This window comes from Homo sapiens, chromosome 5 (genome assembly GCF_000001405.40).
Source record: "Homo sapiens chromosome 5, GRCh38.p14 Primary Assembly".
Lineage (NCBI taxonomy): Eukaryota > Metazoa > Chordata > Mammalia > Primates > Hominidae > Homo > Homo sapiens.
Window position 1 is genome coordinate 9452269 of NC_000005.10, and position 14916 is coordinate 9467184.

Below are 14916 nucleotides of genomic sequence, written 5' to 3' on the forward strand. Positions count from 1 at the left end.
GAGGGAGCCCCCTTCTCCTCAATTCCAATTTGCTTTGACAGACACATGGCTGTGAAGCAGTGGTTTGCTTCCCGGAGCTGAAGCTGCACTGGAATTCCAAAGCTGCCCTAGCCCTGTCAACAGAAGTCAGCAGCTTGAAGAAGAACTGCTATCCAGTCACAGCCAGCGTTCCCTGACACCTGATAATACACACTCTCTCAGGCAAGATGCATCCCACCTCAGATTATTCCAGCCCTGCCTCTAATTGCTCCCACCAGGGCAAACAGGGTGGCATTCTGCTTTGGAAGGAATTATTAAGGCTATGTTGAAATGAAAGTCAAGGTGAGCCCCCGCAAATACAGCTGCATTTTTTAATCCAGACCAAACAAAACTTTCTTTTAGCTTCTAGCCACACTCTCCCAAAACAAAATTTTAAAAGAAAAACTGAGATGCAGGTCTAAATTATATAATAAGAGGAACCCCAGTTTCCCTACCCAGTTTGTTACTGAAGAAGCTATTTATTACAAAAGCTCCAGAGTCACTGTTCTCCTCCAGGTCCATGCAGAAGCAATGAAGCCCAACGACAATAATGCCATCAGGAGGGCAGGCAAAAAGCTCGTTTTAAGGCTCCCAACGGGGTCTAATACATCATCCAGGAAGAAGGACTACTCTGAGAGGTGCCTCAGAGGGAAAAGCCTGTCAAATGACTCAATGCCACCAGACTCTGATCTGCCACCAGAAATGCTGCAACCACCACAGATACTCACTGACATAGACAGAAAATCCTGCTTCATTATCCTAAGTCTAAACACGTACTTTATACCTGTGGGATTAAAAGTGCAAAAGGAGTCAGATCAGTCTAGATGTTATTTATTTTACATAGTAATTGAGATTCATAAAAGAAAAATACAGTTGGACCTCATTATCCAGAGATTACATATTTGCAAATTCACCTGTTAGCTAAAGTGTATTTGCAACCTCAGAATCAAAACTTGAGGCACTTCCCAGCCATTCATGGACATGAGCAGTGAAAATTTGAGTCTCCTGACAACAGGCATTCCCAGCCGAGGTCTGACAAGGCAATCCTATCACCTTCTTGTTTCAGCTCTCATACTGAAAATAAGTGCCACATCCTCTATTTCGTGCCACATTTTTTGCACTCTTGTACTTTTTGTTGGTGATTTGTCTGTTTAAAATGGCCCCAAGCATAGGGCTGCAGAACTGGCTGGTATTCCTAAGTGCAGGAAGGCTGTGATGTGCCCTATGAAGAAAATGCATGTGTTAGATAAGCCTTGTTCAGGCATCAATTATAGTGCTATTGACCATGAGTTCAATGTTAATGAACCAATTGCATATTAAATAAGTTGTTTTTAACAAAAAATGCACTTGAAACAAGGTTATTTATTGATCAGTTGACAAAAATATGGTGACCAGAGGCTCGCAGGAACCAAACCCTATATTTCCCCTAGGAGCAGTGGTTCAGGATTTGCTAATTCAGTATTTGCAGTGACTTCATAGAGCATAATTACCACATGCTCTCAATGATAAGAAGAAAAGACGTAAAATATCAAAGGACATGAGCAACAGATATAACACCCTAACAGTCTTCCCCAGCCTGACACAGGATCATCACAGGCCAACCTGAAGGACTGTGTAAGTAGAGTTTTTTCAGTTCACTCAGAAGAGTAATCAGCTCCACAGAGGGAGATCCAATGGAAGCTACCTACTCACTCCTGAAAGCAAAGTACTAGCCTTCTTGCTTCAGGGGAGCACAGAACTTATCTTGCTAACTGAAAGCTGGGAGCCACTGGTGCCTGACTGTCTAGCACTAGCCACCCTGGGCGGAGACCTTTCTGAAGTCATCCTGGAGTGAAAAATAGACTCCTCAGAAACACAAATCTGTACCATTGACAGGCATCAGGGACGACAGGCTGGTGGCCAAGGTCACGTGCTGAATGGAGGTAGGAGGCTCTGGCTGTGACTCATGGGACTCTTTACTGCTCTCATTACATAATGTGAACCAGATCCTCATCTTCTCATCAGATAATGATCTTTGTTCTCCAGACTAAAGGGGTGATTACAATCTGAAGAGCTGATTGTGTCTCATTACACTTGTGATAATATATTCCTGATGACCAAGGCTAACCAAGGCTATTAACTTGAACCTTCAAATACCAACAGTCACAAGTTGTCCCTTTGATATATTCGCATCTGTTCTGTGTTGAATTGAAAAAGGTTTTCTTGCTACAAAATGTGTAAAGGAGAAAAAGTTAAACCAGTACAGAACAGCCAGTGCTGTTTTTTTCCAATCCAGGAAAGCATCTTAATTCAATTGAATGACTTTTAGTACACTGAGATCTTAACGTAAAAACAAAACAAAACAAAAAAGCAAAGTGATTCATAAATGTCACAGCATAAAAAGGTCCAAAGCCCTCACTTTATTGCTTCCTGATAGTCTTAAGCGCTTCTCCTCTAGCAATGTTTTCCTCTGTATTATAATCTTAAGAACTATAACCACTACCTTTTGGAATGGAATTGGTTTCCTTTTAAACCACTTTCCTCTCTTTATGACGAAAAGGAAATTTGAGTATCTTTCTCTACCTCCATTTCTACATTGTCAGTTGTCAAAAGAAAGTGAACAAAAATAAAAGAACTAGATGACATGTGTTCTCAGATTCAGAGATGTACTAATAAAGGGATACACGTACTATTTTGCAAATCCTAGAAGACTAATTTCTATCATGATCACAAAAAATCTAAGTTGGTAGTCTCCAAAAATGGATTCATGAAGAAAATCAGAATAATTTATGAGTGACAAATCAAACTCAAGAGTTACAAATAGGATTCAGGTACCAGAATTTTCATTCCACCAGCATAAGATGGGGCTTTACCTGACCCTGTCCCTGTCCCTGAAGCTGAGTGAACTGCAGACTAACGGCACCTCTGTCTGAGTTTCCTGCTCAGATAGCATATTGCAGTTTAATTTATTTTATTTTATTTTATTTATTTATTTTTTTTTTTTTTTTGAGACAGAATCTCACTCTGTCACCCAGACTGGAGTGCAGTGGCCTGATCTCTGCTCACTGTAATCTCCGCCTCCCAGGTTCACGCCATTCTCCTGCCCCAGCCTCCCGAGTAGCTGGGACTGCAGTCACTCGCCACCATGCCCAGCTAATTTTTTTGTATTTTTAGTAGAGACGGGGTTTCACCATGTTAGCAAGGACAGTCTCAATCTCCTGACTTTGTGATCCGCCCGCCTCGGCCTCCCAAAGTGCTGGGATTACAGGCATGAGCCACCGCGCCCAGCCGCATATTGCAGTTTATTTCTAGAGAAAGCATCAGGACTAGGAAGCAGTATGTCAACATGAATGGGCCAGAACAGAGAAGGGTTTTAAACTGCAATCAAGCAATCTTATAGTAAGAAATTGTGAGAATTATTTAAAAATGACTATTCCATTTGACTTTTCAGCCAAACCAGGCTCTAAAATTCCCCCAATCTCTCAGAATATTAGAAGCTAAAACAAGGACGTGTGTATAAATAAATTAACTGAGAGCTTTAAAAAGATCTGGTGACAACATGAAAGGAAGGCTTACGACCCACTAAAATTTTGAACTGAAAAGCAGAGAAATGGTTGTTATTTGACTAAAACTTACAGAAGACCCTTCTTCTTCGGGGAAGCAGGAGTGAGTCAGCAGGGGACACATTATGGAGAATCTCAAATGCACAAAGCACTGAGAGGAGAAAGGGATGAAAAGAATTTCAGGACAATCCAGAGGAGGTGCTTAAAAAGAATCAAGTCTCTGCCAAAGACAGAAAGAGCCAGCTCTTTGTTTCAGAGAGGCCTGCAGCTACAGGACTTAGATTGGGGCATAAATTCTAATTAAAGCAAATCTTTCTAGATTCCCTGAAGAATTTCCACTCACCAGCTTCATCTGTCAGTGTGGCTTGAGCCACTTGCTACACAGCTCGACCCAGAGCTGCTCTGTCCCTGGCCATGCCAAGGAGGAAACTGTGTGTGGTAGCCACACTCTCCCTACCTGGGAGGTTTATCCTCTTCTGCAACTGGCTGCTTCTGTAAAGACAAGCGTCTGGGTGCAGATGAGCACCAGGATTTGACCAAGGAAGAGGAAGGAGGTTAGGAAGCAGAGAACAAAACACAACAAAACAAGAAAATTAAAAACTCTAACCTTCAAGGGATTTCAAGGAGAAAACAGAGGAAAAAGGACAAGTAGAAAAAAAGGAAGGCTTCTTTGAGCAGGCAGAGCACAATTAAGGACACCTGTGATTTTAGGAGCTAACAAAAAGCAGATGTGTCATGGCCTCAGACTCCCGTCCCTTCAGCCCAGTCCTCATGCAGCCTAACTGGACCCCAAACCACAAAGGGGCTGGAGGAGAAAAGGGAGGTCTAAGTCAGCCCAGCTGCAATAACAAAGGCAGAAGGCTGGAACCACAAAAGCTTTTAAAAATAAACATTGTGATTCAAGGCAAGGGGGGAAAAACAGCACTGAGGGAAACTTCAAGAAGCACTGGCTCTCAGCAGACATCATTTTAAAGAACCATTTGGAAATTGCCATTCAATGAGGTGTTTAAATGACAACAGAGAGGCTGTCTTACCCAAGTAGAACAGGATCAAACAGAGAGATCAGAAGTACCCTGCCCTGCTCGCACTTTTCTACAGAGCAACTAAACTTGCCTTTCATCTCTCCAGGAATACTTTCTCCATCATGAACGTAACTAAAGCCTCTAAGACATTGAAAGATCTGGAATTTTCATACTGTTATACCCCCTACACATTCTAGATCGAGCCTAGCAAATTAGCCCAAATATGTATCTATTTCAGAGCTTTTAGGAAAATAGCTAGTCTCCCTGTTTGTACTAACCACGTGCTGCTTCTAAATTCAATGTCTGAATGTGCAAACTATGGCCTAGAACTTCCTAAGATACTTAAAAGAAAGAGGAAACGTGGTAAACCTACAACACGCAAACTCTCCTTGAAGAGGACTTCTCAAAAGCTCCTCAGAGGAGTAGAAATCGCACCATGATCTAAGTTCAAACCCTGTCACCAATTTCTACCTGTGCAGAGTGGATATGTATTTCTGTTGTTTTTTGTTTTGTAAAACTTCTCTCAGTTTCTTCTTCTGTAAAAGAGAGGTAACAGCAACCAGGTTGCAAGTAAATGTTGAGGTTCCAACAATATGCATACCAAGTTCCTCACTCAAAATTGCTCTTAACCCTTCAATATTATTATCATCATAACAAACAAATATTTCTGACACCAAAGGGCTGATGGTTAAGAGTGTTGGAATGGTCTACTCTACGAGCCTGCATCCATGACTTTACCCATCTGTGCCTCCTTGCTTAATATAAAAAATAAGGTATGTTAGATTAATTTCTTTAAGGCCCATTTGAGGACTAACAAGTCTAGTTGTCTGGGAATTTGAATTCTTCCTCTGTATTTTACAACTGTAAGGATTCATCCTATTGCTATTAGGAAGGTTTTTTTCCTCCAAACAACTTTTCAAAAAAAGAAAAATTAAATACATTAATTTGATGCCTTTTGGGGCTACATGTTTTGAAAGGGTCACAGGATAAGATTTTGATATGAGGTACAAAAGGAAAGAAAAATAATTCTTGAAAAACCAGCATCTCTCCTTTTTTTTTTTTTTTTTTTTTTTTTGAGACAGAGTCTCGCTCTGTCACCCAGGATGGAGTGCAGTGGCGCCATCTCGGCTCACTGCAAGCTCCGCCTCCCGGGTTCATGCCATTCTCCTGCCTCAGCCTCCCCAGTAGCTGGGACTACAGCCACCCGCCAACACGCCCAGCTAATTTTTTGTATTTTTAGTAGAGACGGGATCTCACCGTTTTAGCCAGGATGGTCTCGATCTCCTGACCTCGTGATCCGCCCGCCTCGGCCTCCCAAAGTGCTGGGATTACAGGCGTGAGCCACCGCGCCTGGCCCAGCATCTCTCCTTTTATTTAAGGATGAGACAAAGCCATTATGTATCACAATTGTGTAAAGGCACAAAGAGCTAATGACAAAGGGCCTTCTTTGTTCCCTAGTCATAGCAGTTTTGTTCTAAATCATCAAGTCTGCTACCTCCTAAAAATTGATCTGATGAATCTTTCGCTCTTTCTCAAGCTTTTGAAATAATGTAGAACCCATAAACCCTAAACTAAGATGAACATTTGCCAATGACACTCCTTCATCAAACTTTAAGCTGCTCCTCCTCATAAGCACATCAGCAACAAGGCAGTTAAGGTGATTCAGATAGCAGGCACTCGCCCATACGCCACCCAGCACGCCAAGGCAGCTTTTGGTCAGATTGCCCAGCAAGCCACACAAGATGGTGGCAAACTGCTCTGGGGCTGTGGGAGAGAGCCAAACACAGAAGCTCCAAGGGTGAGGGAGGGAAGACTCTACAGAAAACCAGGGCTCCATGTTCAAAGCTGAGTTTGCTGTAAAATGGAGCACAGGAACCCTGAATTGCCATGAATAACAGTGCCAGCTCCTCGGAACACGTATGAGCATCAATTTGGGAGGAACCCAATGACAAACGACAGATACAAGTAGTTGAGAGGCTCCTAGGCAGGGAGTCCCAACGATGTGCACATTTTACAATCAGATTTGTATCAAAGGCATCCTTTAATGCCCCCAGGGACAACTTTCAGCTTCAGTTAGAATAAGGTAAGCTGTGTTGTAGGAAAACTGATTCAAGTAGTCTTGGAAGACTCAGCCAATAATTTGATCTATTTTCACAAGAAAATATGAACCAGAATGATTTTTATCAATGCCAGTGGCAATAAATAGTGTACATAATATGCTATACGTAGTATATAAGGTTAATAGCTAATATCAAATCTCAACTTTTTAAAAAAAGTCCCATAATTACACTATTTTCTTTAAAAATTAGAACTGTTTCCTGGAAAGCCTTTGAGGGATCGTAATTTAAACAGATTTTAAGGCAGCTACCCTGATACCTGCTTCCTCCTGTTCACACTCCTGCATGATCCCTTGAGGGTAGGTGGGACCTGTGACTTGTTTCTACAAATAGAACACAGCAAAGATAATATATATGCATGATTAGGTCGTTATATTATATAAAATTGCAGCACCCATCTTGGCAGCTTCCCTTTCTCCCTGGCTGGCTTTTGGATTCAAACAGCAATGCTGGAGAAATCCATACGACAAGGAAGTGCAGGCAGCCTCTAGAGCTGAAAAAGCCTCCAGCAAGAAAATGAGGCCCTCAGTCCTACAACCACAAGGAAACAAATTCTGCCTACAGCCCAAGTGAACCCTGAAGCAGATCCTTCCCCAGCTGAGCATTCAGATGAGATCCAAGCCCCAGTCAACTGTCCTTGATTGCAGCCTCGGAGAAAACTGAACAAAGCCAGATCTAGACTCCCAATCCATAGAAATGATGACATAATATAATGTATGTTCTTTTAAGTCACTAAGTTTGTTGTAATATTTTTATGAGTTAATATTAGTAGATAACTGATAAAGATCATTAAATCTCAAGTTGTTAAATACAGAGAAAGATAAATAATTTTATTTAAAATAAATCTATATGATTGTTTATTCAATGGAACTGGTCTATAATAAAATATAAATGTATATTTTAAATGCCTGATTTTATTAAGCTTCTTTTTAATTACAGCACAAAATCAGGCATTGCAGATAACTGATTCCTTTTCCATTTACAATTCTGCAGTGGTTCTAAAGAAAGCAAGGTCATAATCAAATAAGAGAAATAAAATAACATCAAAATATCAGCATTTGATCATTAGTTACCATGGAGAGTTCAGCTTTTAAATTGACCTACAATGATTAGACAGTGCCACATCATCTACTGTCAAGATTTGTTTTCAAATTTTTGGTAGCTCATATAAAACACCTCTGAGAATACTCAGTAGGAGATTTTTATTCTGATTTTATCAATAATACAAATGAAGAATCTGATTGTTGACCAGGCATCAGTAAAGTACTGTATTACTAAATTGTGTAATGATAGGAGTTCATGGGTTAGAACAACTGTCAGTGAGTTCACAGAAATACATTTAATATTGTCATAAATATAGACTTTAAAAATACGTAGAACAAAACAGTTTTAACAAAACAGAAAATATTCAAGAAAAGATGCAAGTCTATTTCAACAGATTAAGTATATACCCAAAACATGAAACAGCCTATGCAGATACTAAAGTATTTTTAAAATCATATTTATGAATTAATTTAAACATAATTAGTATAAGTATATTATTTCAATCTGTCTACTATTAAAGATTAAAAAAGTAATAAAATATAATATGCTAGATGTTCAAGTAGCAAAATCTACTCACTCGAAGCAAAACGATTTTGATTACTTCTCTACTTTTTGGGAAAACAGAGAAAAATGATTTTCAGTCTTGAAATGTTTATTAACTTGAAACTGAAAGAAACATTCCAATTTCCATTTTTGAACTCCCAGATATTAAGGGATTGCTATCTTCTAAAATTAATTATCCTTTTAATGATAGTATATGACACAATCAAATGAAATTATTTGCTATATTAAAGCCATGTATTCCCTTACTAAGAAGCACCTATGATAACCTATGTCATTATGTTTTGAAATTTTTCAGCTTATTTATTACCTTAAGACTTAAATGTAGTTAAGCAAGTATCTATTTTGTTATTTTTATGAAGAGTAAGCTGACAATTTTTCCCTCAATTTGCTATCTTAGATTTCCCTAAACCTTGCTTAGCAAGTACTCTATCACTTCTCTTGGTCTTAACTCCAAAGATGGATGAGAAAACTTGAGTATAGACAGGCTCACTGTAATTTACATCATTCATGGAAACGCCTCTTTCCTTGGTCGTTGGCTTTTCTCAAACATACACTTAGCATAGAGATTTCCTAGCATGGAAATGATGGTTAAAAGCTCATGTGTGAAGATCAGCTAGGAAACTATTGTGGCAAAGCAGGAATATGGAAAAGCTGAATACCAGGTATTATTTCAGATTTGGTTTTGTTCTCCTCAAGGTGTCTTACAGAGAATGCTCACTGAATCTTCCAGGGTATCTTAAAGGCATGGAAGATTATAACTTAGGAAAAAGCAAATATAATGACCAAGAGCTGACACCAAATGGAAATGCTTACAGCAATAGCAGTCAGCTGCCTGAAAACCTCAGCTTGCCCCTGTTATTACTAATGGCCCAGGTAAGGCAAAGTCCTTAGTTAGAAACTGAAAAATCAATTATTGGCTGCCAAGTACTGGTTGACCTGACAATAGAATGGCATAGAGAATGATATTTTTCCAAGTAGAGGCCCATCATCTTCTGATTTTTTACAGTAGAATCAAATGTGGGGTCAGGAACACCTGCTCAGAAACACCACCGTGATATCACTCCAGCACACCTTGCTACCTCTCTTCCCTGAAGGATGCATCTGTAAGAAGCGGTGTAATTAGAGATACTTCACTGCACAATCATATGTGGAGGAAACAGCAATAGTATAGTCCTGCAGAGACAACTAAGTAAGAGACAGGCAACGATTCTTTTATTTAAAAAACTATGAGTATAGTCTAAATAGTTTGGTGTGTTTGCACATATGTATGAACGTACTCCACAGATGCTTGGCATTTATCATTCTGTTACCTAGGAGGGGACTTCCACTCTGTCCTATAATCTCCAAGTTAGCCTTTCTAGCCAGAAAAAATCAGGGATCAAAGAGACACTGAAACTGTGGCAACATAAAAGGCAGAAACACAAATGTCTTGATCATTGGCCTACATCCATTGTTAGGATGGTGGCACTGCTATCTACAACCTTGGCTTAAAGACTTCAATCCCAAGACTTTCTCATACTCGAGTTCTAGAAGTATCTCTATCCCAAACCTAAACAAAATGTTCACCAAGTCTTCCCCAAAATTGCCTCTTACATGAGCACACTTTTTAAAAGAAGACATACACGCAGCCAAAAAGCACATGAGAAAGATCTCAACATCACTGATCGTTGAAGAAATGCAAACCAAAACCACAATGAGATACCACCTCACACCACTCAGAATGGCTATTATTAAAAAGTCAAAAAATAACAGATGCTGGCGTGGTTACAGAGAAAACCAATGCTTAGACACTGTTGGTGGGAGTGTAAATTAGTTCAGCCATTGTGGAAAGCAGTGTGGTGATTCCCCAAATAGCTAAAAACAGAATTACCATTCAACTCAGCAATCCCATTAATTGATACACATACCCAAAGGAATATATATCATTCTACCATAAAGACACACGTGTGTGTATGTTCATTGCAGCACTATTCACAATAGCAAAGACATGGAATCAACCTAAATGCCCAGCAATTTTAGACTGGATAAAGAAAATGTGGTAGATATATAGCATGGAATACTATGCAGCCATTAAAAAAATCAAGATCATGTCCTTTGCAGGAACATGGATGGAGCTGGAGGCCATTATCCTTAGCAAACCAACACAGGAATAGAAAACCAAATACCGCATTTTCTCACTTATAAGTGGGAGCTAAATAGTGAGAACACATGGACACAAAGAGAAGAATAACAGATACTGGGGCCTATCAGAGGGTGCAGAGGGAAAGGAGACAGGGGATCTGAAAAAATAACTAAGGAGTACTAGGCTTAATACCTGGGCAATGAAATAATCTGTACAATGAACCCCCGTGACATAAGTTTACCTATATAACAAACCCGCACATGTATCCCTGAACTTAAAATAAAAGTTAAAAAAAAAAAAAAAGAATTTTCAAGAACTCCCTGGGACATGAACAATAAAAATGCCTTTTGTGGATGCTTAAAAAAAGAAAAAAGAAAAGAACAATAAGGATGCAACTTGCATCCAAGCTCTGATAAAAGACTCATCTTGTGGGAAACCATCTTAATTTATGTTGAGCAAGAAAGTCTTATTGGGGAACCACCTAGTCTGAAGAAAAACAGTGAAAGCGTTCTCAAGTGCGAAGTATGGATTCTGACAACGAATTCTAAATAAAAGATCATTGAAACAACTAAAGGGAGAGAGGGAGGTTTTGTGATAAACTGCATTTGACAGAGTTCCTTTAGATCTAGAAAAAACAAAACCCTCCATACACTTATGGTATCTCCTAAATATTAAAGTCTTCTCGAGGGAAGGGCAGGAGGTCAGGACAATATCATGAACAATTAAGTATTATTTTCCAGGCAAGTTAGTTTTTTTTTTATTTTTCTAAACTGTCAGTGGCAATCATTCTCTAAAGAAAAGGGGCCTTTATTCTGAGCCTGAGTAAACATAGTGAAGTTGCTATAGAAATAAAGAAGCCAAAATCTAAACCATAAAAAAACTCTGGTGCTAAAAATGGATACTCTCATTTTGCTGCAAAATTATAGGTTCAGCAGGTGCTCCAAGCCACTGAGACCTCTGCTGCCAACGTGGGGCTTTCCTCTGTCCCTAAGCAGCTCACTGTCTTCCAAGGAATCTAAGTCATAGAAATGGCAAGGTGTATTGAATATTCTGGTAGTAGATGCTAGACCACCAAAGTTGTTTCAAATCAACAGCTGTAACCATCAGACTTAGCCTGGAATGTGTTCTCATCTGGCTCTGTTGAAAAAGTACTCCACACCCCCCTGAAGGTGTTTTCACTGTGTCTGCGTTGTGGCTTTGGGGGAACATTATCTATGTTGTTACTGGTTGATAAGCTACACTCTAAAGGCGAAATCCAAAGGAGTCTTTTCAAATCTGTGATGCTGTATTCAGATTTTCTAAACCTCGACACTGTTGACATCTGGGGCCAGATAATCCTCTGTCATGGGGGAGCTGGTCTGTGCATGGTGAGATCCTGAGCAGCGTTCCTGGTCTCTACCCACAAGACACCAGCAGCAGCTCTCCCCACCCTGAATGACAACACCAAAAATATCATTAGACATTGCCAAATGTCCCCTAGGAAACAAAGTTGCCCCTGATTAAAAGCCACTGTGTTAGATCCATTTAATAGTATAACTTTCAAATGAGGCCTTGAAAAGTATAGGGTAAATCTATTTGCTTCCCTATTTGGAAGATAAATAGTTACAGGAAAAAAACAGGAGCCAGAATAATGTCTAAACTCCCATGTCTTACTAAGAGTATGCATACATACACACGTTTCCATCGGCTTAGAAAATTTCTGGAAAGAACTGTTAAGAAGATGTTAATAGTGCTTGCCTCTGGAGAGTGAACTGTTTACACTTTCCTACTGTTTGAACAGTTTACTCACGTACCCCTTTTCAATCATGTTTTAAATAATTTTAATAACATATTTTTAAGTCACATTCAATATATTTTTTAGAAAGCAATAGGTGTTGATTTTCAGTCAAATTAGAGTTAAAATGGGGTTTTCCAATCCATTTGAAATTCCAAAGCCCCCGTTGAGGGAGCTGGGCCCCAGGCTTGGATGCCATCTGCCGGCAGCAGCCCCAGCCCTGGCATGGAAGCTTGTAGACCATCACAGCCTCCTTTGAGTGGAAAACAGAATAAAATGGAAGAAAGTGCCACAAAAGCCCACAAAGGATTGCTCGCTGTGTGGTCATCGTTCTCTGGAATAAGATCCTTAGTCCTAAAGCACTCAGGTCTCTTTTGGAGCAGATGCCAGTGGCAAGTCTCACAGCGGTCTGCAGCCACCATGAAGGGAGGTCTGAGTTTTCTGTCCAGCACGATGGTCTGCAAGCGTGTGCGGACCTGTGGCTCGTGTTTCCTAGTAATCCCCAAAAATGCTTCCTTGAAATGCTTCTTTAAGGAGCCCCAACTACAGTCACCTGGAACGAGCTGTAAAACTGTGTAACATGAGGTCATTTCATTCTGGATTCTGGATCCTGGATCCCCAACAGAATCAATAAGAAAATGTCAAAATGCTGGGCCCCAGGCCCGCTCCTGACTTGCTGAATCAGGACCTCTGGGTATGGGAACACAGTCTCATTGTTAACATGTTACCAGATGATCCCTGTGAAACTTTCTGCTTATCTGTGGGTCAGTATTCAAGAGTTTCCGTAATTTTCAAGTTGAAATAAGAATCTTATGTAAAATATAGTGACTTTCCCAAGGGCTGAAACTTGCAGATTTTCCCAAAAGAGACTCCATGTCTCAATCTTGAAATGGTTGGGAGAAATTTATGCATCAAAAAGGAGCATTTTAAAGACTTATCGTGTGCCAAGATATATTAATACAGTCAGCCCTCCATATCCATTGGTTCCATATCTGTGGATTCAACAATCAGGGATGGAAAGTAATTGGGATAAAGAAATTCCACAAGTGCTGTAAGGCAAAACTTGAATCTACTGTGTGCCAAATACTATGTTGAATCCAAGCAAATGAAATGATGTATAGGCATTACATAGGATACTACAAGTAATCCAGAGATCATTTAAAGTATATGGGAAGATGCTCACAGGTTATATGGTAACACTACACCATTTTCTGTCAGAGACTTGAGCATCCACAGAGTTTGGTATCCACAGGTTCTTGGAACCAATCCCCCATGGATACAGAGGATGACTTTATTCTCCATCTATATTCCACTGGGCTGACTGCCATGTAGTTATTTCATTACTTTTTACTGTTTTGGGTCCTTGGGAAAAACAACATGTCATGCCCAGAATGATAAGGTGATATCTGAACAGGTTCCCCAAACACAAAGACGAGCATGCATGGCACTGAAGTGAGAGAGTGAGAAGAGAACTTCAGAGAGACGTCCAGTGTTGCTAACCACAGAGGACCCAGTGGAGAATTCAGAGAGAAATTACAAGTTAAACCAATGCTAATTATTGACCAAGAAGGCCTTAACATTTCTTTCTCTCGAGGGTAATGTCAAGCCAGCAAGGTCTGAGAGTTGGGGGTGCAAGTATCTGAGTAGCTGTGCACACAGATACCTGGGTACCAATGTGGAGATCACTGGGAAACAGGATTAAATCAGTAGGAATAAGAAAAGTCCCCAGGCACACCGGGGACTGTTGTGGGGTGAGGGGAAGGGGGAGGGATAGCATTAGGAGATATACCTAATGCTAAATGACGAGTTACTGGGTGCAGCACACCAACATGGCACATGTATACATATGTAACAAACCTGCACGTTGTGCACATGTACCCTAAAACTCAAAGTATAATAATAATAAAATTTAAAAAAAAAAAAAAAAGAAAAGTCCCCAGGCAGTGAAGGAATCATGCCTCACACTATCAACATGGTTGAAGAGGATGGGAAAGAAGGGCTATTGAAGGGCTACTGAGCAGTGAAGTTATTTATGAGATAGAATTTTGTGGCTATTAGAGAGGGGGTTTGAAAAACAAAAGGGTAAAACTTAGAATGATTCTGAGATTTCTAGTTTGGGAAACTAGATTCGTGTATTTACAGACAAAGATAAGGAAATCCAATTACCAAAAAGTCATTAAATGAATACAATCTGCTCTTACATTACTATAAAGTTATTATTTTCCATGTTTATCATAAATATTTCAGAGCTAATTATCTGGGCTTGGTTTCACTTGTGTACTTGGCTGATTTTTCTCATTCCTCCTCTTCCCACTCAGCATTAAATAATTGGGATCCACTCCCAATGAGTGTTTCTGAAATACTCTTCAAAGTCATTGCCAAGGGAGAGATTGCCTTTTCGGATTGGTGTGTCTCAGATTTATCACAAGAGTGGGCAGATGTGAGGGAAAAGGAGAATGAGCTTTGGCAGTAACAATGCAGAGAAGAGTTTTGTTATTCTTAGTGAGCATCAAAAGGCAGAAAGGCATCCTCATAAATCATTGTCCAAACCAATAGCCTTCCCCAGAAACAAAGTTTTGGCCCTTCTCATCTTTTGAGCTAAAAGAATCAGATGCCAAGAACAGGGAGATGAGATGCATGAATTGTTCTTTTTTTTTTTGAGACGGAGTCTCGCTCTGTTGCCCAGGCTGGAGTGCAGTGGTGTGATCTTGGC

At 40.0% G+C, this 14916-nt stretch overlaps 1 protein-coding gene across 8 annotated transcripts in view, besides 1 other annotated feature; it reads right to left on the minus strand.

The window, feature by feature from the left end:
• The window catches only part of SEMA5A (semaphorin 5A), a 511043-nt gene that overhangs the window by 417236 nt on the left and 78891 nt on the right, over positions 1 to 14916 (minus strand). The gene's annotated exons all lie outside the window — the stretch shown is intronic.
• Positions 3765 to 4304: an enhancer, noted in NCBI's record as "NANOG-H3K27ac hESC enhancer chr5:9456145-9456684 (GRCh37/hg19 assembly coordinates)". NCBI's record gives its function as "activates a minimal SCP1, AML or CMV promoter by ChIP-STARR-seq in naive H9 embryonic stem cells {active_cell/tissue: H9 hESC(naive)}" and the evidence as "EXISTENCE:reporter gene assay evidence [ECO:0000049][PMID:30033119]".